Source organism: Homo sapiens, chromosome 5 (genome assembly GCF_000001405.40).
Source record: "Homo sapiens chromosome 5, GRCh38.p14 Primary Assembly".
Lineage (NCBI taxonomy): Eukaryota > Metazoa > Chordata > Mammalia > Primates > Hominidae > Homo > Homo sapiens.
Genome location: NC_000005.10, coordinates 159,261,045 through 159,286,948, shown reverse-complemented (window position 1 = coordinate 159,286,948; position 25,904 = coordinate 159,261,045). Strand labels below are relative to the sequence as shown.

Below are 25,904 nucleotides of genomic sequence, written 5' to 3'. Positions count from 1 at the left end.
GATTTACTGATGTTCTGTAGTTTTTAGGCTAAATATACTTCGTATAATACTGTTTTAATGCTTAACACATGTATCTGATAAAAATAATTTGTGGTTTCACCAAAATATGCATCCAAATTAAGTGATCTATTGATTCAATTGTGTGTGCCACACACATAGATATATAGAGATGGAGCTGTTCAATAAGCCATGAGATGCAGAAGACAAATGAAAACTCCCACACTCTATAATGGTATTAATCACATATAGCACGTTATCTCAACAAGCTCAATGACAATGTTCTCCGGAGTGGCTTAATTAAGCACAGCAGCTAAGAAGCTTTGGTTTGGGCACCACCTAATGGCAGAATATGTTTTTGTAAAATTCTACTTTGCTCCCTGTGATTTGCTAACTTTTGTATTTTAGTTTATACTGATTTCGAAAATGTCTGCCCGTTCTTGACCTATGTTAATAGTTTAAGTGTTCCATTTTCTTGAGAAGATTAAGCCCTTTCCGTGCGTACTTTGGAATAAGTTGTCTTTTACAGTGGGAAAAATGTACCAATGAAAAATGAATACTCTAAAATTTCTGTTCTATCCTTAAATATTTAAATTTTACTTCATAATTAAGAAATATATTTTAATTGAATCACTTTAGAGTCCTCAAACTCTTCTGCACTGTATATCCTCAAAACCTGTCACAAAGAAAATAGTATATATTTCTGAAAAAAGGTACTTATTAGAATTAAGTAATTTTATGTATCTGATTAGCTGCTAAAACTACTCCTGAATGTATAAATAGTGATATACACACCTTTAACATCACCATACACATTTAAGTTTTTGCAAGAGATCCTTGCCTGAATATAATGTTCATTTTGTCATTCAACAAAGAGGTAAAATATATGTGGTAATATAGAACAGATAACGAATGTTTTAAGAAAAGATATTTATTATTTACACCACTGAAATTAGTCCTGTAAGAACAATATACACCATGTTTCTTTAAAAGGATCAATTCCTTTCAAATACAAGAACTGTATAAAGCAATATTGTCAACACAAAACAGTGGTCACATTACGTATCTGCAGGCTTAAGCATTGCAAATAATATATTTTTTTAATCTTATGGCTAGATATTTTCACTGAAACAGTGTTAGCACTTAGACAAGATATAGCTGGAACAGAACAAAAACTTTTTGTTCATGCTTTTTAGGAATGAATCAGTGATATGTCCCTTTTAAAAATTTATTGCCTTTAACTGCTTTTATGACAATGGTTTTAGGAAGATTCTACTTAGCCACCAAAAAGAGACTCATTCTTGTTCCTTAGTTTTTATTCTTCAGTCTTCTGTTTCTCATACTAAGACACAGCTGTGTCAAGACTGACATTTTCCAGCTTTACTTGGACATGTACACACATACAGGCCTAACTGAGACCGCTCAGAATTTAGAAATGTAACTAGTGGCATACAGAAGAGAAATTGTGTCTATGACAAAGAAATAAAAAATTCTTGGTAATTTTAAGCATAGCAAACTAGGTTCTTTAATTAAAAAGTTTTTTTTTGTTTTTTTTTTTGGTTTGTTTTTAAAGGGAAAAGTACTAGTTTCAACATGGGTTTGGTTTTAGATTTAGTCAGACAATAACACAATGAGACAAAAACACAAAACATAACTTGTTTCCAAAGTCACAAAATGACATTGTTGAGTATACATTTTTCTCCACTTTGTGTGTGTGTGTGTGTGTGTGTGTGTGTGTGTGTGTGTGTGTGTGTGGTGGGAGGGTGGGGTGGTCAGTAACCAACGCTGGAGAAAATATTTTTCAAGCGTAACAGAATATTCATATAGGGGACAAGCATTTTTTAGCATATTGCTATCATCTTCAAAAAATATAAAATTAAATTTACAAAAAACTGGAAGACCAAGTATAAGCAGTATGGTATTTGCTTCAGTGTCCAGCACTATCATAATGATTTCTAGCATAAAAGCAAGAAGTTCTTGGATCTTAAGTATCTTCAATAACTGCCAGTATAACTTGTAACTACTGTCCTTGCTTCTTTGAGAGATATCTGCAAGAAATAAAATAAAGATGTCAAAGCTGTATCATGCTAAATTCATGAAGATAACCTAACTTTGCTCCCAAAGGAGTTTGTTCTAATGACAAAACATTTCAAGATGAGTATTCTTAATAGTCACTTACATCTACTGATTATGTGCACGCACAGTTCTAAGTACATGTATTAATTCATTTAGTCTTCACAACAGCTCTGAGGAGTTACTATTAGAATTATTCCTATTTTACAGGCACAAAGAGGTTAAGCAATTTGCCCAAATTCACACAGCTAGAAAGTGGAAGAGCCTAGATTCAAAACAAGGCTCCAGAGGTCATACTCATTGACTACCACTCCATACTGCCTTACTTCCAATGTGAAAGTCACTATATTAACTAGTATTGTAACTTCCAAATACAGATCAAACTCCATAAAGATCTTATTTTTGTTACATCAAGACAGTGGGCAAAAGATGCTAAAGGTCTTTGATCAAGAGTGTAAAAGATATAAGACATTACTAAGCAAACAAGTGTTTTTCATATTGTTTAATAGAAATCTACCACTAAATTAAAAACTTGATCTCTATTTCTAACATTTACAAACTACTATAATTGGTGGTGTGGGGATGGGGAAAGAGTTCCTAAAATCAGCAAACTTGGACATGTTTTGCTGGTACAATTTGCTCACTTTGTGGCACTGCACTAAGTATTTACTATCTCCATGACTCAGTTACATCATTTGCAATTTAAAGATGGGGGTAAAAATGTCTGCTTTATCTTCCTATTAGGATTATAGACTCTTAGAAGACTTGTGTCAAACTGATCTGAAAAGTCAAAAGTGGAATCTGAAAAGCCAAAGTGTTATTATTACACAAATAGTTTCTTTTGGTGCTGTATTACTGGAACCAGATCCTCAAAGATCTAATTCCCCCCCAAATACTGTAATACATAGTAATACCTTCCACTTCTCTGGGGACTTTTCTCTGTCTCAAAACCTTGATGTTTATAGGCAACGTCTATATAGATTTGTGCAAACATTTGGGTTTAGATAAAAGACTGAAAGACTATATACCAAGATGGTAACAGTGGTTATCTTTAAAAAGGAAAATTATGAGTAATTGTTTTTTTAGTAGGATAAACTTTTCTAATTTCTCTGCTACACTCAAGTTACTGGTAATTTTTAATACTATTTATGAAATTTTTACATGTGTTTTATCTTATCCTGACATTAAGTTACAGTATGAGAAGAGGGATTATATTCCATGTGATTCATAAAGGAGTAGCTTACCTAACATCACAAAATAATTTACAGGCAGCATCACCAACATATGCTAGTCTCTCAAGTTCTCTCTTCTAGAAGTATTAAAGAGTTTACAAGAGGTATGTTTATGAACAAGTTAGAGGTTAAGATGAAAGGGGAAAATACTTTTGGGGGTAGGTCACTGGATTAGAAAATGTTTTTAGAAGTCACCTATTTTAAATAAAAATTAAGACAGCTATATATATACTGGGGTCACTGATGAAAAATGATAATTTTTTCTTCATTGATGTAAAGAGAAAATAAATAAGCAATTAAAACTTACCTTTCCCAATATTTGTGATTTAGATCCAAAAAGTCATCTAATTTTGCTATCTCCTTGAGGTACTGAGTTAATTTTAAAAGTTCTTTGTCTTTATCACGATTTAGGTGCGCTTTCATAAAAGGCCTTATCTATTAGGAAACAAACATTACTCAACACATCACAATGTGATAAGGAAAACTAACAAATCTATACTATCATTTCAATTAGAGTTAATGAGGTTAAAATATCACCAAGAACATAAATACTAAAAATTACTTTTATATTAGCCTAAATAGAAAGTCATGTATAATGTTTACAAATTACAAACTCTTCTACCTATTTTACCTAACATTATCTTTTCAATCTGAACCTGACAACACCAGCTTTCTTATTGCACTTGAATCCATACACAGCTACTCTACTTTGCAAAACTACTTAGCCTTTCCCGCCTCCTATCATTCTAGTTGCTTCTAATTAATTTCATTCACATTATTTTATTCATAAAAATTTAACCCCAATACCAGCTTGATCTAACAGTACAGTGAGATAAATTTTAACGATGATTTTTATTTTATTTTTCTATTAAATTTTTATATAGCTGAGATATCATTATACATTTATATAACCTGTTTCCTCCTACATTTTATCATAAGCATTTTTCTTTATCATTAAATTCTCTGTTAAAATCATTTTTAATTATGCAAGAGTTTTCCATAAAAAGAACTGCCATATTTTCCAAATGTTTAAGGCTGATCTATTTTATGATGAAAAAGAGTTTAAAAAGCATTATTTCAAACCACACATGTCAGAATAATAGACCGAGGTAGGGGACTGCAATTAGTAAGGAATACCATATCTTGACTTGAGTGGCGGTGCTATGAATGCATATGTTTATATGCAATCTTCATCTAGATTTGTGCATAAATCTATGCTTAAAAAGACTAGAGGACTATAAATCAAGATGGTAATAGTGTTTATCTTTGGAAAGGAAAATCATGAGTAATTTTAGTGGAATAAAATTTTTTACAAGAATTATCTTTACAGTTTGTTGAACTATAAATTTATGCACTTTTCCTTATTTTATAGCTTCAGTAAAGAATTCTGCTGTTTTGTAAAAGACACCTGCTCAAATATCTTTATACAACTCAAGATAGTCTTTCAATAATTTTAAATTAATTTTAGATAATATGATATGACTAAGATTTACTTCAAAATATTAAGGAGAGGGAAGTAGCGTATAGAGCAAACAATAACCATCCATGAATTAATAAGCTAATTTAAACTGAATGATATCTACATGGGGGTTTAAGCAATTTTATATAGTTCTGTTTACATTTGAATTTTTCTGTTATCGTTAAAAAAAAATCATACATATTCCTAAAGCACACATATTCCTAAAGCACACATGTAAGGACTGATTTCATCATACTTAGCAAAGTATTAGTATATTCTTTTGATTTGGAGAAAATGCAAATTGGTCATTAGTTTTTTTTTTTTTTGGTCATTAGTTATTAATTTTACACAGTTAACACTGAAAAATGAATGATATTTAATCATTGTCACTTACTGAGAAGCAAGAACAATGAGTGAGCCCAAAGGAGTCTACTACCATACCTATTAAGTGTAGGGAAGGGTTTAAGTATTTTTTACATACTTTTCTTCTGTCATTGGAAAAACACCACCCATCTGAAATGGACAGAAGAAAATTTTCCCAGGTGTTCTACTCTCATCAGAACAGCTTGGTGCCAGTGACCTCCACACTGTTAGCTGGCTCCCATACTGCTTGAAGGGCACCAGTCAAGAGCTGTCAAAGGGAGTCTCCTCAGAAATCAGCATTTGTGGGAGATCCCACTTCCAAAAAGGTAGTGCAGCAGTGCTGTTTCCGAGCAGCAGTGAATGTGGGGGCTGAAGACGACGCTTTACAGGGCCTTGCTTAGGCCCTGGGGATGGGAGTAAACAGAGTCATGATATGAGGATGTAGTGAAATGAGTTTCTGCATAATCCTGGGTGATATGGTAATGTTTTAAAGTATTCCTTCATTCACTTCCTAAGGACTGAAAGGTAACAAATTAACTTTTAAGCAATTAATATATAATGTACCAAAGTGTCCAAATTTAAACAGCAGGAAATTACAGGGTTGGTGGGTAGTAAATAAGATTTTCAACCCAAGGCTCTGCTAAGTTATTTTTACTTTCCAAACATTTGCTCTTAAGCACTATTAAACAACAAAACTAAAATATTCTAATGATTCTGGTTCTAAAATTTTAAATAAACAAATTAAGGGTGAAAATCTATGCACCTAATTGACTTCACTTGCTCCAGTATAACCACTGTTTACTGTACATTTTTAAAAACTGATCTAAGTGATCACTAAAAGGACAGGAAACCATCATCTTGTCTCAGGTCAAGGAAGCATTTTTAGAAACTTAAGACTGTCTAGATAAGCTGAATTCTCCTATATCATAATTTCCTTGTACAGACAATAAAAATGGAGTTTTCAGCCGATAAACTGCTTTATCCATGACCAAGATTCACATTCTTTTAGTGTAATTCTAAATTCATATTCACAGTACCTTCCATGTACTTCAAACCTTATGACTGACAAGCTTATGTTTAATAGAAGTTAACTATTTTAAAAATGAGCAGTCTTATTTTTAAGATCTACATGAAATCTTTGAGATTTCTACCAAGTGCATTATGAAAGCATGATAACAAAACACAGCATTTGAGGATATTTCTCCATTTTAGAACTCTTTCTGGGCTGGGCGCAGTGGCTCATGCCTGTAATCCTGCACTTTGAGAGGCCGAGATAGGTGGATCGCTTGAGTGCAGGACCTCGAGACCAGCCTAGGCAACATGGCGAAACCTTGTCTCTACCAAAAATACAAAAATTAGCCAGGTGTGGTAACGTGCGCCTGTAGTCCCAGTTACTTGGGAGGCTGACATGTGAGGATCACTGGAGCAAGGGAAGTCGAGGCTGCAATGAGCTCTGATCATGCCACTGCACTCCAGCCTGGGTGACAGAGCAAGACCCTGTCAGAAAACCCCACCTGTTTCTATGCCGACGTGGGCAGATCTTTAATCTTAATCTTAACCTTTAATCTTTAACCTTAAAAGAGGTTTTCATGAAGTGTTATCTTGGGTAGATTAATTTTATAAAAAAGAGGTTTTCAATAAAAGACACACAAGGACAGCCTGTGGAGTGTCTAAATCTACCTCTGGAATTAGAATTTAGGGGATGGGGACATACGTATTTTTAGGAATTCCTTCAGTGGGTCTACTGAGTACAGTCTTTTAAAAACCCTACTGTAAAGTAACATAAAGAACTAGACATTTACAATAACATCTCTCCCTGCATCAAGAGATGAATGGAGCTCAAATGTTGGTTAGGAAAACAAAGTTTCTTTTAAACAAACATGAAACTAATGATTGTATTTTTTTTTTTAAAGTTAAACGTCTCCTCCAAAATTATTCCTTGACCATCATGGGATCACCTCCTTGCAAGAACAGGTAATAACCATTCGTTTCACAAACAATTAGGTTTACATCAACCACATTTCTTCTCAAGACTCAAGAATACATTTTTGTACCTTTACCTGGTGCAGTACATATTAAGAAAAGCACTTCTCTCCAAGCCTTAAACAGAAACCATTAAGGACAACATAACCACTTTTCTTCCAAGTCAACAGTTTTTATACTTATGGCAATTCACTACCTAGATTAGTATTCTTTCCCTAAAATATCCTCATTGTAAACAAAAACTCAAATCAACAGTCTGTAAGAAAGGTTTAAAAAATGTACTTTTAAGTTTTTCTCTCTTGTCTTTTAAAACTACCAAGGACCCAGCTAGTAGAAAAGTTTAGGACTGAGAATGAAAACATCTCAGTGTCAGGACTGCCACTTCGAATGGAGACTCCATGTGCAATAGTGCCATAGTATAGAGCTATCTTTTCCATTTTCATATTGCGCCAACATGTAATCAACTATGGGTACCAGAAACTTTTAAATTTCAAATTTCACTCTTACCAATTTTATACTGTTACCAGGATGAAATGTCACATAAGACTGCATGCAGTTGCATGCTAAGATTGTCACTGACCTAGGAACCAAGTCACTAGAGTCTAACCCAAATTCTGTCATTAGCCAGTTACATATACAATCTTGGGCAAGTCAGGAACTTCTTCAACCTCAGACTGTTTCCAAAGTTAAGAAGGTAGGCAAGAGATGACTGTGGTTCCTTCTAGCTCTGGCAATGTCTAATTCTAAGATCTGTACTTGCCGTCTAGGAATTTTCAAAAACGTCTTTAGTTTCAGTTTAAAAAGAAAAAACAAAGTACCCTTACTGCCATTTCTCAAGCTAACCAGAATGTTTAAAATGCCAAGATTTGTATACCTAAAAAAATAACTAATGATTTCACTTTGGATGCTAAAAGTCAATGTTGGGAAGCCCATGTTGCTCCCACAGAGCTAATTAAAAATAAAACACTTGGGCCGGGCGCAGTGGCTCATGCCTGTAATCCCAGCACTTGTGGGAGGTCGAGGTGGGCAGATCACGAGGACAGGAGCCTGAGATCAGCCTGGTCAACATGGTGAAACCCTGTCTCTACTAAAAATACAAAAATTAGCTGGGTGTGGTGGTGCGTGCCTGTAATCCTAGCTACTCAGGAGGCTGAGGCAGGAGAATCACTTGAACCCAGGAGGTGGAGATTGCAGCGAGCCGAGATCGCACCACCACACTCTAGCCTGGGCGACAGAGTGAGATCCCGTCTCAAAAATAAATAAATAAATAAACAAACAAATACTTGGATGAACTAGCTAACTATGGAGACATCAATGCAAAAAAGACAAAGTTCAATTTCTATATGAATTATTCTTAAACTTTTCTCGCCTATGACATAAGAATACAGTACTTCCAAAAATATATGAAATTCAACAGTGCTTACTACAAAAGTTCTACCACACAGCCCAGATTACATGAGCACATAACAAGTAAAAGTATGTCTTACCTTTAGTCCATTCTGTGGGTTCATTAGAAAATTTCTCCCTATGTCATCAAACATAATGGTGTTTTTCTTGCTGTAAAACTCCGAAAACTTTCCCCATATAACACCAAGAGGCTTTACCTTAGAATAAAAGTTTACATTTAACTCAAATTTTATCAATATTTCATCCTGTCTTAAAAGCAGGAATACTGCAAACTGCCCTGCAGAACAATGCCAAAGTGTTCCTTTCCCCCTGTAAGACAGGTGTGAGCTAATCATTAAATGCAACCCACTTTAAAGCACAATGCATTTTGCAATATTAAAACTTCTGAAAGGTTTGTTCATGTCCAACTGAACTAAACCCATTATAAAACTTTCCATAATTTTAACGTGAAGATTTTGGGTAAAATAAATAAATTATTTAATTTTTTAAAAATCCAAAGTAATTGTTTAGATGTCTGCTATGCAGTCACATGACTTCCTTGGTTAACACATTCCTTCTCAGAGCTTGGGAGTCACATGGAGTCTGCTTTCAAAACTAGAACACCCTAGTCAAAAAAAAACTGTATTTGGCTTTTTCAATTAATAATTTGAATATTTTATAGAGGAAAAACTCGTTTTGTCTTTAACTCAGTGGCACAGGTGCATAATTTCTAGGGAATTTGATTGCTTAACTTCGGAAGCACCATATTTTACAAATTCTTACTCTTATTTCTGAATTCTTAAACTGAAGCTTCAAATAAATAATTTCTTATATAGTCTTACCTGTTGGTATTTGTGTAAAGTCTCTGTAAGACCACACAGGAAATAACACTGATTGTGGCTAGGTACCAGGTGAAAGATGACTTTTCATTATGTACTTTACTATTTTTTTAGTCATGCAAATGTATTACACATTCAGAAAATTTTTTAAATTTCTAGAAAATTACTTTTGCTGAAGACAGAAGTCTTACGGTATTATGAGAACAGAATGTAATAATAAATATATGAGATTAAGTGGTAAGAAATAAATAGTGATAAAAGTTGTAACTTAAAAATTTTTTTCCTCCTATAATTTAATTTGGAGAAAGCTTTTTCCTTCCTATTGTCTTGCCTATTACAAAAAATGTTAATGAAATATTTTAATTTACTAAAATTTTACTTTCCTGATTTTTTTTTGCTACTGATCTTGTTTACTACCGAAATAGAAACCGCCCCCTACTCCCCCCACGAAATGAAGACAAATATATAAGAATTAATACAATAAGCCATATTTTGTGGATTTTTAGCTAACAAAAGCCTCAAGAAATATGACAACAGAGGTCATTTTTTATGACATCCAGAATAAAAATCCTACATCCTCTTAAAAAGTGCTGTCATTTGTTAATTAGGTCAAGCACCTATGTTCCCCAAAACACAAACTACTTTGCTCTCAATTAGAAAAGTAATATTGCTAACTACAGAAAAAAAACATGAAAATACTGAAAAGCATAAAGGAAAATTTTAAATCAATAATCTAGTCAGTACCAAGGGCAACAACTCAATATTCTGATACATTGACTCCAGGCATTTTTATAAACAAGAGCAGCCTCAGAGAGTTGACAGGTTCTTTGTTAAATTAAGGGTAATCCTGAACCAAACAAAGGTTAAGAACTATTTTCTAACGGCTTACAACAGTGTTCTCTAAAATACTTCTTTCACTTAAATGTGTCATGAAAATTTCTAAATCATTACATATCCTACTACATCAAATGACGAGCTACAGTCCCTTATATGGGTAGCAGTAATTTATATATCCAATGCCCTATTGCTGGATATTGAGGATTATTTTTATTCCTTTAATTTTTCACTGTTATAAAACATGTTTAACATTTCCCTAAGTAATTTTTAATGTTAAGATTTTGTAAATGTATTATTTTACTTTAGTATATAGTAAGTTATCTTTTTCTCGATACATGCAGTATTTCCTTTATAGAACAAGTCCCCATGCCCTTAAATCATTCTATTTATGGTTTTGATAATTTTAATACTGTCTCCCCTAAGGTTTCCTCGTATCCTAAGTTCTCCTCAATTCCTATTAGTTTGGGTGCTTTTATTTTACTTTATTTTGTTGAGACAGAATCTTGCTCTGTCACCCAGGCTGGAGTGCAGTGGCTCAATCTTAGCTCACTGCAACCACCGCCCCCTGGGTTTGAGCAATTCTCCTGCCTCAGCCTCCTGAGTAGCTGGGATTACAGGCATGCATTATCCAGCCCAGCTAACAGTTTGGGTGCTTTCAAATGATATGGACTGTGTCTCACTCATCTCTTTATTCCCAACAGTGCCTATCACAGGGCCTTCCAGACAGTAGATACTTAATAGTATGAGTAGTTACTTGATGAGTAAAATAACTGGTTAGCCAAACCCTTTTCTCTGATTGTTCTTGTTGCTATTCTTCAGCATCATCCCAAAGTACATGCATCATGATGCATCTGCTTTTATTACCAGTTTCAAACAGGGCAGGGTGAGTGTTTTCGCTTGTTTCTAGTATCTTCCTTGATAATATTCAGTATTTTTCTCACCTACTCTGCCCAGTAACATTGTGCTGTCATCAACACAGGTCAATTACCCACAATCACAAGTTCCTTTCTTGACAGTCCTACTTCAAGATCCCTAATTTTATCATTAAAATTCAAATCTTTTAACCTTGGCTGGGCACAGTGGCTCACGCCCATAATCCCAGCACTTTGGGAGGCCGAGGCAGGCGGATCACGAGGTCAGGAGATCGAGACCATCCTGGCTAACAACAGTGAAACTCCGTCTCTACTGAAAATACGAAAAAATTAGCCGGGCGTGGTGGCGGGTGCCTGTAGTCCCAGCTACTCAGGAGGCTGAGGCAGGAGAATGGCGTGAACCTGGGAGGCGGAGCTTGCGTGAGCGAGATTGCACCACTGCACTCCAGCCTGGGCGGCACAATGAGACTCCATCTCAAAAAAAAAAAAAAAAAAAAAAAAAAATCTTTTAACCTTAAATACATTTTCCTATGTCAAAACTCAACCACTTTATTATTCACTCAGATGAATCTCTACACTATTTACTCCATAGGTATAAACATAAAAAGTACACTGGAAAATAACCATGGTGTCATTAAATAGAAATAAAATGACTTCTTACGTCTATTAATCCTCTCCTTGGAGTATGTACTGTTATCATAGCAGCACTATCCAACATGAAAGTAATCTTATAATTTGCATTTGTGCTCACTCCCAGCTCCTATAAACACAAATATTTGTGAGGTTAAAACATAGTAGTGTGGAAAATTTCAGATTTTCTGAATATTCTAGCTGCAATTTCTCATAATGCCAACTTTCTACACCACTGGCCACTACATCTTGCTAAACAACTAGGAAGTATTTTAGTTTCACTTAGCCAAGTCAATAAATGGTAAACCAAGGAAAATAGAAATAGATTACTTCCTAATTTACCATTTTAGGAGAATACTGACTCTTTAAGTATTGCACACTAGAGCAAAAGAAGGAAAATAAAGTATTATTGTAAAATGAGGAAGAATGTGGGGGAGGGGACAAGCTTAGTTATACTTTTTCTTAAAAAAGACTTAGGGATTCAGTACAATCCACTTATTAAACACACTTTAAAAACACCTCTACTCCCAATAATGGCATTTATCTATCTACTAAGTGCCCTCCAGTAAGAATAAAATTAATTCAGTTCTAGAACTTTTAACAAGACAAATGCAGTTTGAAAATATTTTTAAATGGATTGCTTTCTAACACTTACTTTCATTTTAGCTTCAATCCACTTCATATTTGTTGCAGCTAAAACACGAGGAATGATAATACAATACATATGAAAAGCTTGAATTTCTTTAAAAAAAATCTGTATAAGTAAGTTTTCTAAGCAAAACTAAAAGTTTAAATGCATCAGAATTAACAGTCCCTAGCATACTTATGGTAATTTTCTTTTAAATATTGATAAAAGTAAACTTACTGCAGTGTGTCTTCAAGACAGAATAAATTTTAAACAACTTTTATCTGTAAGATACAGGTAATCCATGCTCAAAAGAACTCTGAACCTAGGAAATTTATAAATCAAGACCTAAACTCTCTTTTTAAATCAGCCCTGACACTCTATCAATTCCAAACTTAAACTTGGGTGCCTGGATCACTTTTTTCCATGTTCCTACTTCTAGGCAATGCACAGGTATACATAGTGTCAATATAAGCATATTGTTATGTGTCAAAAGTTTATGTTGAAAACCAGCTAGTCAGGTTCAGTGAAAATCTGCATTTTGTCAGTCTCAGCAAATTAAAGCTCACTGAGTCTAGCAGCTTCTAACAAGAAATGAGACAAATTCATGAAGTATACCTGCATCATGTATCTGCTCATTGTCAGACATTAACCAGCTTTGAGATCATTAATACTAAAATTAAATCCTCATCTTTATGTGCTCTCCTGGTTTACTGGACTAAACTATACAGGTATAACCAAGTAAAATGTTTAAAAAGAGAAAAAGCAATTTAATTATTTGAAGTGTGTGTGTGTGTGTGTGTGTGTGTGTGTGTGTGATTTTTAAAAGCAAAAGAGGAACCTGAGTTCTCAAAATAAAAAATCTTCAGCATGCACACATACAAAAAAACAGAAGAATCACCTTACACGTACAAAACTGGTCAGTTGAGCTAAAATTTTAAAGACTATTGTATCTCCAATGAAAATAATCATAAGATAGAAAAAAATTTTAATCCGGTACTTACTTTGTATCTGTAATTATCAGACGAAAAACAAAAAGACCCACAGCTAATAAAAAGTTTCTAATTATTAAGTAACTATATGTCAGACATAGTACTAGTTGCTATATTGATACTTCTATTCTTACAACTAACCTGTAATATGTATTTAGATATCTTCATTTCTCAAGTGAGGGAACTAAGGCTCAGAAAGATTAAGTGACCTGTCCAGTGTCACACAGTAAGAACAGAGCCAGAATTAAAATCCTAGTCTATTTAGCTCCAAAGTGAAGTACTCTTTTCAATGAACTACCACAAAATATCACAGTTTATAAAAATAATTTAAATATACTATTGTAAAAGGTTCTCAAATTTTATAAGTCTAGTTTAATAACATTTAAAGGATAAACTTTTTTCTCAAATATCATCTTAGATGTCAAAGTTGCTAAACAAACCAGCAAGCTTTCTTCACCTTATCTTACTAAACCAGAAAATTATATATTTTGACAATAATTTTAATCTTAACAGCTGTGAACTCACATGGAACTCACATATCACAAACAACGGAAGTACTCTGATTATAAGGAAAAATACAAAATGAATTTACAGACTGCAACAACTAACATAATTTCTCTCAAAGACCTAGTACAATGAAATGTAGCACCTTTACTTGATGGGACTTCATTTAATTCAGTCAGGATAACTCTTCTCTGCTTATGACATTGCCAAGAGGCAACTTTAAATATTTGTGGGGAGGAGGGATGTAAATCAATGCATTGCTTCATTTTCCAAGAAAATCTTGCTACCAAAAAACGTTAATTGAACTGAATAGTGTGCTTACGATTACAGTATATTTACTTCTTGGAACAAACTCAGTATCTTATCACAGACCTGTACATTCTTGAAATGGTCCGCAGACCACAATTTCAATGTCACTGGCTTTAGTCCACATATTAATTTTTCCTTAAGTAATTCAAGTTGCCTTTATTTCCAGAGAACTATATCACTGTGATTTTGTTTTAAACACCTTTTTCCAAGTATTTTAAAACTGGAGTCAGGAAAAAAGGAGAAAAGAAAAATATTCTGAAGCATCAAGAATTTCACAGCAAAGATCAGAAGGAAAGGCTGGGCACATTGGCTTATGCCTGTAATCCAGCACTTTGGGAGGCCAAGGCAGGAGGATCACTTGAGCCCAGGAGTTCAAAACCAGTCTGGGCAACACAGCGAGACCCTAAAGATATGTGCCTAGTTAAAAAAAAAAAAAATCAGAAGGAAAAACTTCAAATCAAGGTGGGGTCATTGGGAAAATTAGTCATTTTTATTCTTACACTATAATGTACTCATGTCCTATAGTTAAATTAACTATCTCACTGGTATTTGGCCAATATATGTTTAAGTTTATATTGTGATACATGCTTCATTTTAGAAATTTGCTAAAAAATGAAAACTATTTCATATTTAAACACAGGTCATTTTAAGTCACATTTTATACAGCACAATAATATATGGAACAACCTATTTCCACGGAAATCTAAACAAAAAAATACAGCTTACACCAAATAACAATGTCATAATCTTCATAGGCAGATGTTAGAAATTCATGAAGATATGGCCGCATTAATTCTACCCCAGTCTCTGCACAAGACCTGTGGTCTAAAAGAAAATTGATCATAAATAATTATTAGTTTACCATCATGAACAAGTACCTAATACCAATTATTATTAAATGTAATATATTACGAAATGCAAACATAAACATTTCATTGCAAACTGCTTCAGACTGAATTACGTTGGCTGACAAAAAGATGTCTTTCAAAACACAATTTAAAATCCTTAAGATCCAATTTTAGTCGATCAATTTTGTTCAATTTGCAAAAAGCAATACTGAAAATTCAGGCTTAAGTAGTAAACTGAAAATTTTTTTCTCACCTAGTCTCTAAAGTTTAGATGTTATTTTTTAATAATGAAAAACAAACTATGTCCACTTATACTCACCTTTAGTCATCTACCTTGCAGATATAATCACATTTCATCAAAATGACAGGCCAATTAACCAATTAATTAAATTTTTAAAAACTGTACATTAACTTATGTTTTAGGTTTAGGGTTAGAAATAAATTCCAGTATCAGAAGTTAACTATTTCTTGCCAACATTAGACATAAAAGGAACATCTTTCTTTTTCAATGAACACAAAACATTTTTTTCTTTCTTTTTTTTTGAGACAGGGTCTTACTCTGTCACCCAGGTTGGAGTGCAGTGGCACTCCATAGCTCACTGCAGTCTTAATCCGGGCTCAAGTGATCCTCCCACCTCAGCCTCCTAAAGTAGCTGGGACTAGGTGCATACCACCACATCCAGCGAGTATTTTTAGTTTTTATTAGAGATGAGGTCTTGCTCTGTTGCCCAGGTTGATTTCCAACTCCTGAGCTCAAGCAATCCTCCCACCTCAGCCTTCCAAAGTGCCAGGATACATATGTGAGCCACTGCACCTGGCCTACATGAGAAATTTTAAATTCAAGAATCTGCTTGAATATAACTAAACAGAAAACTAGTGATAAAATATCAAACATAATTTTTAAAATATTCCTTATAAAAAATTATTTATAATCAACAGGGAATAACATGGTTAAATGATGATGCATCCATAAACTAGAATACTTTCTGGCCAAAAAAATAAAAAAATATATATACACACACACACATATATATATATCATTCATAATAAACAATATTTTACTGAGAAGATGTTCAATGTGTTATTAAATAAAAGATTTAGAGGAGATCCATACAAACAGTCTAAAAGATATATATCAAATTACTAAGAGTGGTCATCTTTGGGTATCAGGATTACAGATGACTTTTTTTTTTGCTTATCTGTATTTTTTACAATGAGCAATTTACTTTTGTAATAAGAAAAGTTTTCAAGTATTTCACGAGAACCATGAGTTGCTAAGAAAAAAAAAAAACAAAGAAAAGAAAAAAAGAGTTGTTGTGGGTAACAGAAAATGAAAAGCATTCTTAACTGACTTACCAAATAATGTATAATCAACATCTAGCACCAAAAGCTTTTTCCCTTCCCTGGGAGGATTCAAAATTTCCACTTTGTACTCTTTCACTCTGCGAGAAATTTTCAGTAGGTTTTCTTCCCTAATGGAAAACATATAATTAGATAAAATATTCACTTGTTCTCACATGACAACTGATTACTTCTAAAGCGAAAAGCACTTACCTATTTTCTACTTCAACTACTTCATCTTCAATATCAAAGTCATTAACAACATCATCATTGTCAGGGGGTGGACCTAAGACATCTTCCTATTAAGATGGAAAAAGTTTTGTTCTACCATATTATCCTTAATATAACAAATACATGCATAGCATAAAAATAAAATGAGAGATACAATTTGAGTTCCAGAGTCTTTTAAGCCCATACTGGAAAATTTCCACAATTAATAATTCGTTATGTATGTTTCCTGGGCAGATTTACCATATTAAATTTGATCATTTGTGCTACTACTATACTTATACAGTTAATAACACATTCACGGTGCGGGTTTTATTTTTCATTGATTGCTAGACTGACAATTTTACCACAATTAAAACTATAATACAACAGTGTAGTATAAATCATAATATCTTCAAATGGACAAATGGTAACAAAAAGTAAACATTTACCAAGCTCTCCTCACGAGTTCCCATCATCATGATTTTAGTATTTGGTTTCAGTTTGAGAGCTCCAAGCTTAACATCATTTTCTGCAGGTTTGCCTACAATACAAGCAAATGACTGTTTTCTCACTAAAGTTCAGGTGCTGGTTTCACTATTCCATTATATAAAACCCTAACATTAAAAGGTTTGGTACAGATGTCACAGCAATTTTTGTTGTTTTGTTTTTTCCTACATTAACAAATTGTTTCTGCTGAATTAGTCATATCTAAGACACGAAGAAGTCAAAATTAATACAAGGGTTATTTTCTCCCCAATTCTATGTTAGATGAACACCTTTATTCAACTACCTAAACAAAATTAATTCATGTTTTATTCTGTTGTTCAAGATGAATATTACTGTTTTCCAGGAAGCCTTAAAAATTGAGTGCCTAAGAAAACTGCAGATTTACTGTTACTCAAAACTCACTCTTCAATATGATAATCACAAAACACCATAAAAAAAATCCCTTTTAAACTGGATATGAATGCTGCCTGTAATTTTTAAATGTTGTCTTTACTTTTGAAACAGAAAAGATAATTTGGGAAGAGTACGAGGCCCTCGTTACAACGAAACACTGTGCTAAAAGGTAGATGTCAGAAAATAAATGAGTTTCATCCGGGACTTCTGTGCCAAAGGTTTAACAAGCAAATACTGACTGTCTAAAACATCAAAAGTAATCTTAATAATCATGGTATTTTCGAGAACACTTTAATATTCTTACTTTTACCACTAAAACAATTTTAAGAATATTTCTACCAGAGAAATCTCGAAAGGGAGAGACTTACTAAACTACAAATAGCAAGTATAAATTATTAAACAATTATATTCAAAATAATTATTAAAATTCATAATACTAAAAATTCAATGCAAAAAATCTGAAGAGGGGAGAGAATTACCTTTAACTTTGAGTCCAAGTAACTTTTGGCGTTCTGGAAGAACTCCTGTAAGGGTCTTGAGAAACTGTTTGAGATCGAGCACAGTATCATCTTCTGAAAGTGTGGTCACTGAATACTCCTGTCCACCCCATTTTACAATGATAGGGAGAGCCATTCTTGAAACATATGAGGAAGCAGCTTTCCTTCAGAAAAAAAAATACCTGGAAAGGAAGACAAAAATGAACAAGTTAAAATAGATACTGTTTATTGAAGCCAAACTTTTAAGTTTTATGTGTACAGTTTAAGCCTTATTTTACAACTTATGATAGAGAGGATTTTTGTCCATACAGGAGTGCTACCAGAACACCAAAAGATACTAGGACTCAAAGTTAAATTCCCCCACACTCCTAATTTTTGGCTTAGAGTTACTACTTTCTAATACTCTGAGTCTCACTGTTCAACTGGAAATGTGCAATTATGAGCTACCATTCCTCCTGTTCTATTTGGTCAGGTTGATGCTACAAGCAAGTCCTTCCCTGACAGACCATCCATGTTCATTTAACATTTGAAAGGTAGTGTGGTGTAGTTAAGAACACAGATTCTAGAGCCAGATGACCTGGGTTCAGATCCCAGATCTCTCCCACTTAGCCATCTGACTTTGAGAAGTTACTTGACTCTCAGTGTCTAGGTTTCCTCATCTGTAAAATAGGGATGATGATACTACCTACTTCTTAGGGCTTTTATGAGGATTAACTTAATTAACATTTACAAGGTACATAGTGCCTGGCACCTAGTAAACACTACATAAATTAAGTATTGGTTAAACAAAAATCTTTTTAAACTAAAAGCTTACTATGTTCCAGGCAGGCACTGTGCTAAATAAATAGTAAATAGCCATTCTTTGTTTCATATTTTATGAATTGAAGTTTTTACACAATCTCATTAGAGAAAGTAATTTGGTAAGTTTTCCCTCTTTTACAATTAAGGAAACAGGAGTTTTGAGAGGCTATACAATCTGTACATAGACACATAGCTAGTTACAGAACAGGTCTTCTGACTAAATCTTATGTTTCTTCTCCTCCACAATTGTATCTCTTCAGTTGAACATACAAGAGTTAAGGCATCAAAGATCAGTGTATTAGTCTGTTTTCACACTGCCAATAAAGACATACCCAAGACTGGGAAGAGAAAGAGGTTTAATTGGACTTTACAGTTGCAGAATGGCTGGGGAGGCCTCAGAATCATGGTGGAAGGCAAAAAGCACTTCTTACATGGCAGTGGCAAGACAGAATGAGGAAGAAGCAAAAGCGGAAACCCCTGATAAACCCATCAGATCTCATGAGACTTATTCATTGTCATGAGAATAGCATGGGAAAGACCACCCCCCAAGATTCAATTACCTTCCCCTGGGTCCCTCTCATAACACATAGGAATTATGGGAGATATCATTCAAGTTGAGATTTTGGTGGGCACACAGTCAAACTGTACCATTCTGCCCCTGGCCCCTCCAAATCTCATGTCCTCACATTTCAAAACCAATCATGCCTTCCCAACAGTCCCCCAAAGTCTTAATTCATTTCAGCATTAACTCAAAAGTCCACAGTCCAAAGTCTCATCTAAGACAAGTTAAGTCCTTTCTGCCTATGAGCCTGTAAAATCAAAAGAAAGCTATTTACTTCCTAGGTATAATGGGGGTACAGGTATTGAGTAAATATAGCCATTCCAAATGGGAGAAATTGGCCAAAACAAAGGGGTTACAGGGCCCATGCAAGTCCGAAATCCAGCGGGGCAGTCAAATGTTAAAGCTCCGAAATGATCTCCTTTGACTCCAGATCTCACATCCAGGTCACACTGATGCAAGAGGTGGGTTCCTATGGTCTTGGATAGCTCCACCCCTGTGGCTTTGCAAGGTAAACCCTCCCTCCCAGCTGCTTTCACGGGCTGGCATTGAGTGTCTGTGGATTTTCCAGGCACACAGTACAAGCTGTTGTCAGATCTGCCATTCTGGGGCCTGGAGGGTGGTGGCCCTCTTCTCTCAGCTCCACTAGGCAGTGCCCCAGTAGGGACTCTGTATGGGGGCTCTGACCCCACAATTCCCTTCCACACTGTCCTAGCAGAAGTTCCCCATGAGGGCCCCACCCCTGCAGCAAACTTTTGCCAGGGCGTCCAAGAGTTTCCATATATCTTCTGAAATCTAGGCACAGGTTCCCAAACCTCAATTCTTGACTTCTGTGTACCCACAGGCTCAACACCATATGGAAGCTACCAAGGCTTGAGGCTTCCACCCTCTGAAGCCACAGCCCAAGCTGTAAGTTGGCCCCTTTCAGCCATGGCTGGAGTGGCTGGGATACAGGGCACCAAGTCCCTAGGCTGCACACAGCGCGGGGACCCTGGGCCGGGCCCACGAAACCTTTTTTCCTTCCTGGGCCTCCGGGCCTGTGCTGGGAGGGGCTGCCATGAAGGTCTTTGACATAGCCTGGAGACATTTTCCCCACGGTCTAGGGGATTAACATTAGGCTCCTTGATACTTACGCAGATTTCTGCAGCCAGCTTGAATTTCTCCACAGAAAATGCGTTTTTCTTTTCTACTGCATAGTCAGGCTGCTAATTTTCCAAACTTCTATGCTCTGCTTCCCTTATAAAACTGAGTGCCTTTAACAGTACCCAAATCACCTCTTGAGTGCTTTGCTGCTTAGAAATTTCTTCTGCCAGATACCCTAAATCATCTTTCTGAAGTTCAAAGTTCCACAAATCTCTAGGGCAGGGGCAAAATGTTGCCAGTACCTTTGCTAATACATAACAAGAGTCACTTTTACTCCAGTTCCCAACAAGTTCCTCATTTCCATCTGAGACCACCTCAGCCTGGACCTTATGGTTCATATAGCTATCAGAATTTTGGGCAAAGCCATTCAACAAGTCTCTAGGAAGTTCCAAACTTTCCCACATTTTCCTGTCTTCTTCTGAGCCCTCCAAACTGTTCCAACCTCTGCCTGTTACCCAGTTCCAAAGTTGCTTCCACGTTTTCGGGTATCTTTTCAGCAATGCCCCACTCTACTAGTACCAATTTACCGTATTAGTCTGTTTTCATGCTGCTAAGACATACCCAAGGCTGGCCACAGTGGCTCATGCCTGTAATCCCAGAACTTTGGGAGGCTGAGGCAGGTGAATCACCTTAGGTCAGGAGTTCAAGACCAGCCTGGCCAATGTGGTGAAACCCCATCTCTACTAAAAATACAAAAAAAAATTAGCCAGAGGTGGTGGTGGGCGCCTGTAATCCCAGCTACTTACAGTTCCACAATGGCTAGGGAGGCCTCAGAATCATGGCAGAAGGTAAAAAGCACTTCTTACATGGCAGTGGCAAGAGAGAATGAGGAAGACAGAAAAGCGGAAACCCCTGATAAATCCATCAGATCTCATGAGACTTATTCACTTATTCACAAGAATAGCACGGGAAAAATCGGCCCCCATGATTCAATTACCTCCCACTGGGTCCCTCCCACAATAAGTGGGAATTCTGGGAGATACAATTCAAGTTGAGATTTTGGTAGGGACACAGCCAAACCATATCAATCAGAAAATACAAAACCCATGGGTACAGATCTAAGCACACAAAGATTATATAGTGGCTGCCACTCATGTAAATAACCAAACATATGTCTCTTCCTGCATAAAGCTTTCTATTTTTCATTAAACTCATTCCTCCCACAGTCCAGAGAACTGGATTTTCTAATCTCAAGGTATTGGTATTTCCAATGCTTTCACTTATTTGATGAAACATTTGATTGCACTCTTCATGCAACTATTAGGACCAACTGCAAGAAAGAGGTTAAATTTTTAATCTCCACTTCCAAAAATAATTTAAAAACAGTGTCTCCTACTAAAAGGCCAATTAGAAGAGAGAGCCATAAATTCATATTTATATTTACTCATATATGAATACAAATATGAACTATAAATGTATATTTACTCCTATGTTTACAATGTGTTCTACTGAAAATGTAAAGCAAGTGTCTTAATTTAGGGTAACGTATTCCATTTTAGACAGAACTATAACAAATGTTATATTCTTCAATTAAAAGTGGACCTTTTGAGTTAAACTGAAATACAGTTTAAATATTTTCTGTAAGACATAAGAATAAAAGGGAATCCTACGAGAGCTAGAAAGGCAACCAGCACTAATATCGCATATATTGTGATGCGTAGTAGTGCAGAGTTTGGAGTGAAATCATCTGAGTTCCAGGTGACCCTGGACAAGTGATTGCTCTTCTAGACTAGTGGTTTTCAAAGCATGGTCCCTGGGCTAACGAACAGCATTGACCTCACTTGGTAATTTGGTAGAAATGTAATTGGGGTGGAGAGAAGGGACCTAGGAATCTGTGTTTTAACAAGGTCAGTCCTCCTCACCTCTGATGAATGCTCAAATTTGAGAGTCAGTACTACAGGCTCTTCAATGTTTTCAGCCTTAAAAAAAATGTGCCAGAGGGCATGGGCTCTATATGGTTAATAAAGCAGCATAAAAACGTTACGAAGCACCTATCCCACAAGTGGAAATTCCAAGTTGGCAAATGCCTTAAAGGGCCAAGCGAAACAAACACCATAAAAATTGTAAATGCATATGTCTTTAAGATTTGTTTAAAAGTTACTGAACCTTATTTCATCATTAAGACCGTTCACACCAATGAAGCAGTGTGATATAAATGCATGAGCTATTTTGCTTTCACATTTAACCTTCTTTCTTAGTATTTTGTATCATTTCAGATCCCATCAGATTTATAAGCTGAAAAATGATTTGGGGTGTGGGGAGGAGTGAAGTTGGCAAACCCAAACAAGCAAGCAAAGAATACACTTCCATATGGTCAACCTAGGGTCAAGAATAGCTGTTTAGGTTGGAGTTCTACCTAACATACTGTGTTGACTTTGCCTAGTCAATCCACCTCTTGGCCTCAGTCTTCTCAACAAGATGAGGCTACTAATATTCACTGGACAGGAGTAGTGTTAAGGTATGAAGTAACACCTGTGACAGCACTTTGTAAACTGTAAAACACAATACAAATGGTGTTCATGATGGAATAAAAACATGCTAAACAATTATCTCATTGAAGCTTCACAATCCTGAACCAACAGCTGTTGTCCTCATTATACAAATGAGAATCCTGAAAAGAAATTAAACTTGCCCGGGACCACAAACCTAAAAAGTGGCAAATGAAGAAATTTTAAAGTATAGCAGTAAAAGTAACACTTTGGGAATTAACGGGAGGTTAACTTTCAACAATCCCAGCAAAAGATAACCGTGAAGCACTAAGAACTCCGGCGAGAACCGCACACCAGCAACAACTGCGAGGTGGTGCAGGGTCGGGGGCTGTGCTAACTGACTTAGGGGAGCATTAGGAGGCAGGTGGAGGCTCCAGAACCAAAAAGGCCGGGATGCCTTCAACAAGGAGGTTGAGGGGAGGGATGGACAAGCCTGAGAAGACGGAGGAATGAAGTTTGGGGACGCAAAACCCACTGGGAAACAGAAAGCCCTCCAAATAGGCTAGACTGCTGGATGGGAGGACAGCGGCCCCCGCGACTAAGCGGGCCGGGGCTAGGGGCCTGGGCGTCAGACTAGGACAGACACTATCCCCAGCCCGCCGCAGTGCAAGCCACGCCGCGCGGGCCGCAAAGCCACTGTCCCCGAGCCCCAACAGCGTCTCCAAGGGCAGCGCGCCAGGGTGCCCCGCAACCCCTCACCTGGAGCGCGGTGGAACCTGCGGCAGCGGACGCAGAAACCGGCCGCTGAGAGACCGAAAGCGACCGGAAGTGAAGGGCGGGACCGGAACCGGCTGAAAAACCGGAAGTGGGTGGTTTGAAACGGAAATATGTTGGGGACGGAACAACTGCTTCCTTTGAATCTCTTCGGGTGCTAATCAAATGGCCGCTGTAAGGGATCTCCACAAAGCCACGAAGAAGCCAGGCCTTTCCGAGACTGTAACCGCTGTGCAGATAGCGCCGATCCCTGGGTGGCCGCTCTCTCGTTCTGCGCGTGCGCTCGTTCTGGGCTGGGAGCGGATGGGTGCTGAGGCGTGTGACGTCTCTAGTAGTGTCGTAACTGGGTGTGCTGCCTTTTCCAGGTGTACTGAGGTCTTCGTGAGATTCAGGGCTAGGACTCGTGTGGCTGTGTCATGTTCCGAATGAAGCTTAAAAGGTGATCTTTGAGAACTGAAGACTTGAGACCCCTCCATGGGCCCAGGGGCTGCCAACACTAATAATTTCAGAGACTTAGAATCTGAGGAGAATCTCCAATCTAAGGGGAAACGGAAGAGGGTCAGGAAAGAGAAGGGGCAAGCTTAAGTGACTCAGAATCCAAGAAGCAAGTCTCATAGGAGAGCTGCGATCGAGGTTACCATACAGTATCCAATCGTCTCAACCTTCCCATCCATACTTCCATGCTGTCTTTCCTCTGAATGCAAGGAAAACCGGTTACACAAACGCTGACAAAAGAATGTCAGACTTGAATGGAAATTCGGAGCAGTACCCATCTGGTCCATACAGCGAACTCCCAGTGAGCACCACGGCAATGTAACTAATTCATGTTTCCCTCTTGGCAGTGCGGGAAAGGCAGCAAAGAGCCAAGTTTTGTATCTTAACAGTTCTTTAGTTAAGAGGCACACGCTATTTTGCATTCTTCCCTACTTTTGATAATTTTTGGCTGCACTAGTAATGCATGAGTATCTGCTCATTTAAAAAACTCAAACTTTTTCAGTGAAAAGTATGCCCTTTTCTTCAGAAAGTCTTAATTAAAAAAAAAAAAAAAATCATTGCCCAGACCAACATTTTCAAGCATTTTCTCAAATCGTTTTCTTGGAATAGCTGCATAGTTTTGGGTCTTACATTGAAGTTTGGTGCTCATATGTGGGAGCTAAAAAAAAGTTGACTCCATGGAGATAGAGAGTAAAATTGTGGTTACCAGAGGCTGGGAAGGATAAGGAGGGAGAAGGAGATGAAGAGAAGTTAAAAGGAGCGAAAATATGGTTAGACAGAAGGAATAAGTTGTAGCGTTCCACAGCACAGTAGGGTGACTATAGTAATCAATAATTTATTTTGTATTTCAAAATAGAGGAGAAAGGTTGGGATAGTCTCAACACAAATGATAAATGTTGGCCGGGCACAGTGTGGCTCACACCTGTAATCCCAGCACTTTGGGAGGCCAAGACAGGCAGATGACTAGAGGTCAGGAGTTCAAGACCAGCCTGGCCAACATGGTGAAACCCAGTCTTTACTAAAAATAAAAAAAATTAGCTAGGTGTGGTGGCATGTGCCTTTAACCCTAGCTACTCGGGAGGCTGAGGCATGAGAATCACTTGAGCCTGGGAGGTGGAGGTTGTAGTGAGCCAAGATCATGCCACTGCACTCCATCCTGGGTGATAGAGCAAGACTATCTCAAAAAAAAAAAAAAAAAAAAAGAAAAGAAGAACTTTTGCCTCCTGTTGCTCCCTGGAGCCTCTCTTCTAATGTGTGGAGGATAATATACTTGTCCTTCATTCATGCATCTCTGTAGCAGCTAAAGATGCCTGGGAATTCCTCCATAGATTGTCAGGTCTGAGAGTCTAAATAATATATGGAAACAATTTCACAACATCAGATGACAAACTGTTAATATTACTGTGACCACATTTACTTTGGAAGATAAAAGGACATTCCTGCACCTAGGCCAGAAATCCCCCACTACTCTGCTTTTATCTCCATCTCCCCCAGACTTTTTTCTCCCCTTTTCTCTCTCTGGCCATTTTCTTTCTCTAGCAAGTGTGTTCTCTTGCCCAGCTCAGATCTACTCCCCTCAAAAAGCTTTCCCTCTCTTCCCAGTTGGAAGACAATCCTCTTCAAAAATTTAGTTCCCTCTAGAAGTTTGTCTCTCTCTTCTAATACCTACTCCTTTGCCTTTATCTTGCCTGCAGTAAGAGAGCTGAAAATATTTAGAATCTGCCCCACATGACAGAATACAGGTTCTTAATGAAGCATGCCCAGTTACTGCCCTTCTCTATTCAGCATGCTTTCCCCAAACTACTA

General features: G+C 36.6%; 1 protein-coding gene across 1 annotated transcript, besides 5 other annotated features; it reads right to left on the bottom strand.

Annotated features, from left to right (window-relative positions):
- Positions 1-912: 912 nt before the first annotated feature.
- Positions 913-23,659, bottom strand: UBLCP1 (ubiquitin like domain containing CTD phosphatase 1). The gene is made up of 11 exons (NM_145049.5): positions 23,589-23,659; positions 17,880-18,079; positions 16,950-17,041; positions 16,504-16,589; positions 16,306-16,421; positions 14,828-14,926; positions 12,327-12,364; positions 11,703-11,801; positions 8,595-8,711; positions 3,610-3,737; positions 913-2,045 (listed from the first exon to the last, which is right to left on the bottom strand). Exons 2-11 carry the CDS (start codon positions 18,031-18,033, stop codon positions 2,018-2,020), a joined length of 957 nt encoding a protein of 318 aa, NP_659486.2. The 5' UTR covers positions 18,034-18,079; positions 23,589-23,659; the 3' UTR covers positions 913-2,017.
- Positions 23,419-23,926: an enhancer, noted in NCBI's record as "H3K27ac hESC enhancer chr5:158690031-158690538 (GRCh37/hg19 assembly coordinates)". NCBI's record gives its function as "activates a minimal SCP1, AML or CMV promoter by ChIP-STARR-seq in primed H9 embryonic stem cells {active_cell/tissue: H9 hESC(primed)}" and the evidence as "EXISTENCE:reporter gene assay evidence [ECO:0000049][PMID:30033119]".
- Positions 23,419-23,992: a biological region, named in NCBI's record as "H3K27ac hESC enhancer GRCh37_chr5:158690031-158690538".
- Positions 23,683-23,992: an enhancer, noted in NCBI's record as "active region_23546". NCBI's record gives its function as "activates an Ori minimal core promoter by ATAC-STARR-seq in GM12878 lymphoblastoid cells {active_cell/tissue: GM12878}" and the evidence as "EXISTENCE:reporter gene assay evidence [ECO:0000049][PMID:35858748]".
- Positions 23,927-24,434: an enhancer, noted in NCBI's record as "H3K27ac hESC enhancer chr5:158689523-158690030 (GRCh37/hg19 assembly coordinates)". NCBI's record gives its function as "activates a minimal SCP1, AML or CMV promoter by ChIP-STARR-seq in primed H9 embryonic stem cells {active_cell/tissue: H9 hESC(primed)}" and the evidence as "EXISTENCE:reporter gene assay evidence [ECO:0000049][PMID:30033119]".
- Positions 24,023-24,092: an enhancer, noted in NCBI's record as "active region_23545". NCBI's record gives its function as "activates an Ori minimal core promoter by ATAC-STARR-seq in GM12878 lymphoblastoid cells {active_cell/tissue: GM12878}" and the evidence as "EXISTENCE:reporter gene assay evidence [ECO:0000049][PMID:35858748]".

Bases quoted from the DNA above. Each gene is read 5' to 3' on its own strand.
- UBLCP1 (NM_145049.5), bottom strand. From the start codon at position 18,033: ATGGCTCTCCCTATCATTGTAAAATGGGGTGGACAGGAGTATTCAGTG. The intron at 14,927-16,305 runs GTAAGTCAGTTA...ATTTTCTTTTAG, and splicing joins TGTTGATTATACATTATTTG to ACCACAGGTCTTGTGCAGAG. The intron at 2,046-3,609 runs GTAAGTTTTAAT...TATTTCTTGCAG, and splicing joins AATCACAAATATTGGGAAAG to ATATCTCTCAAAGAAGCAAG.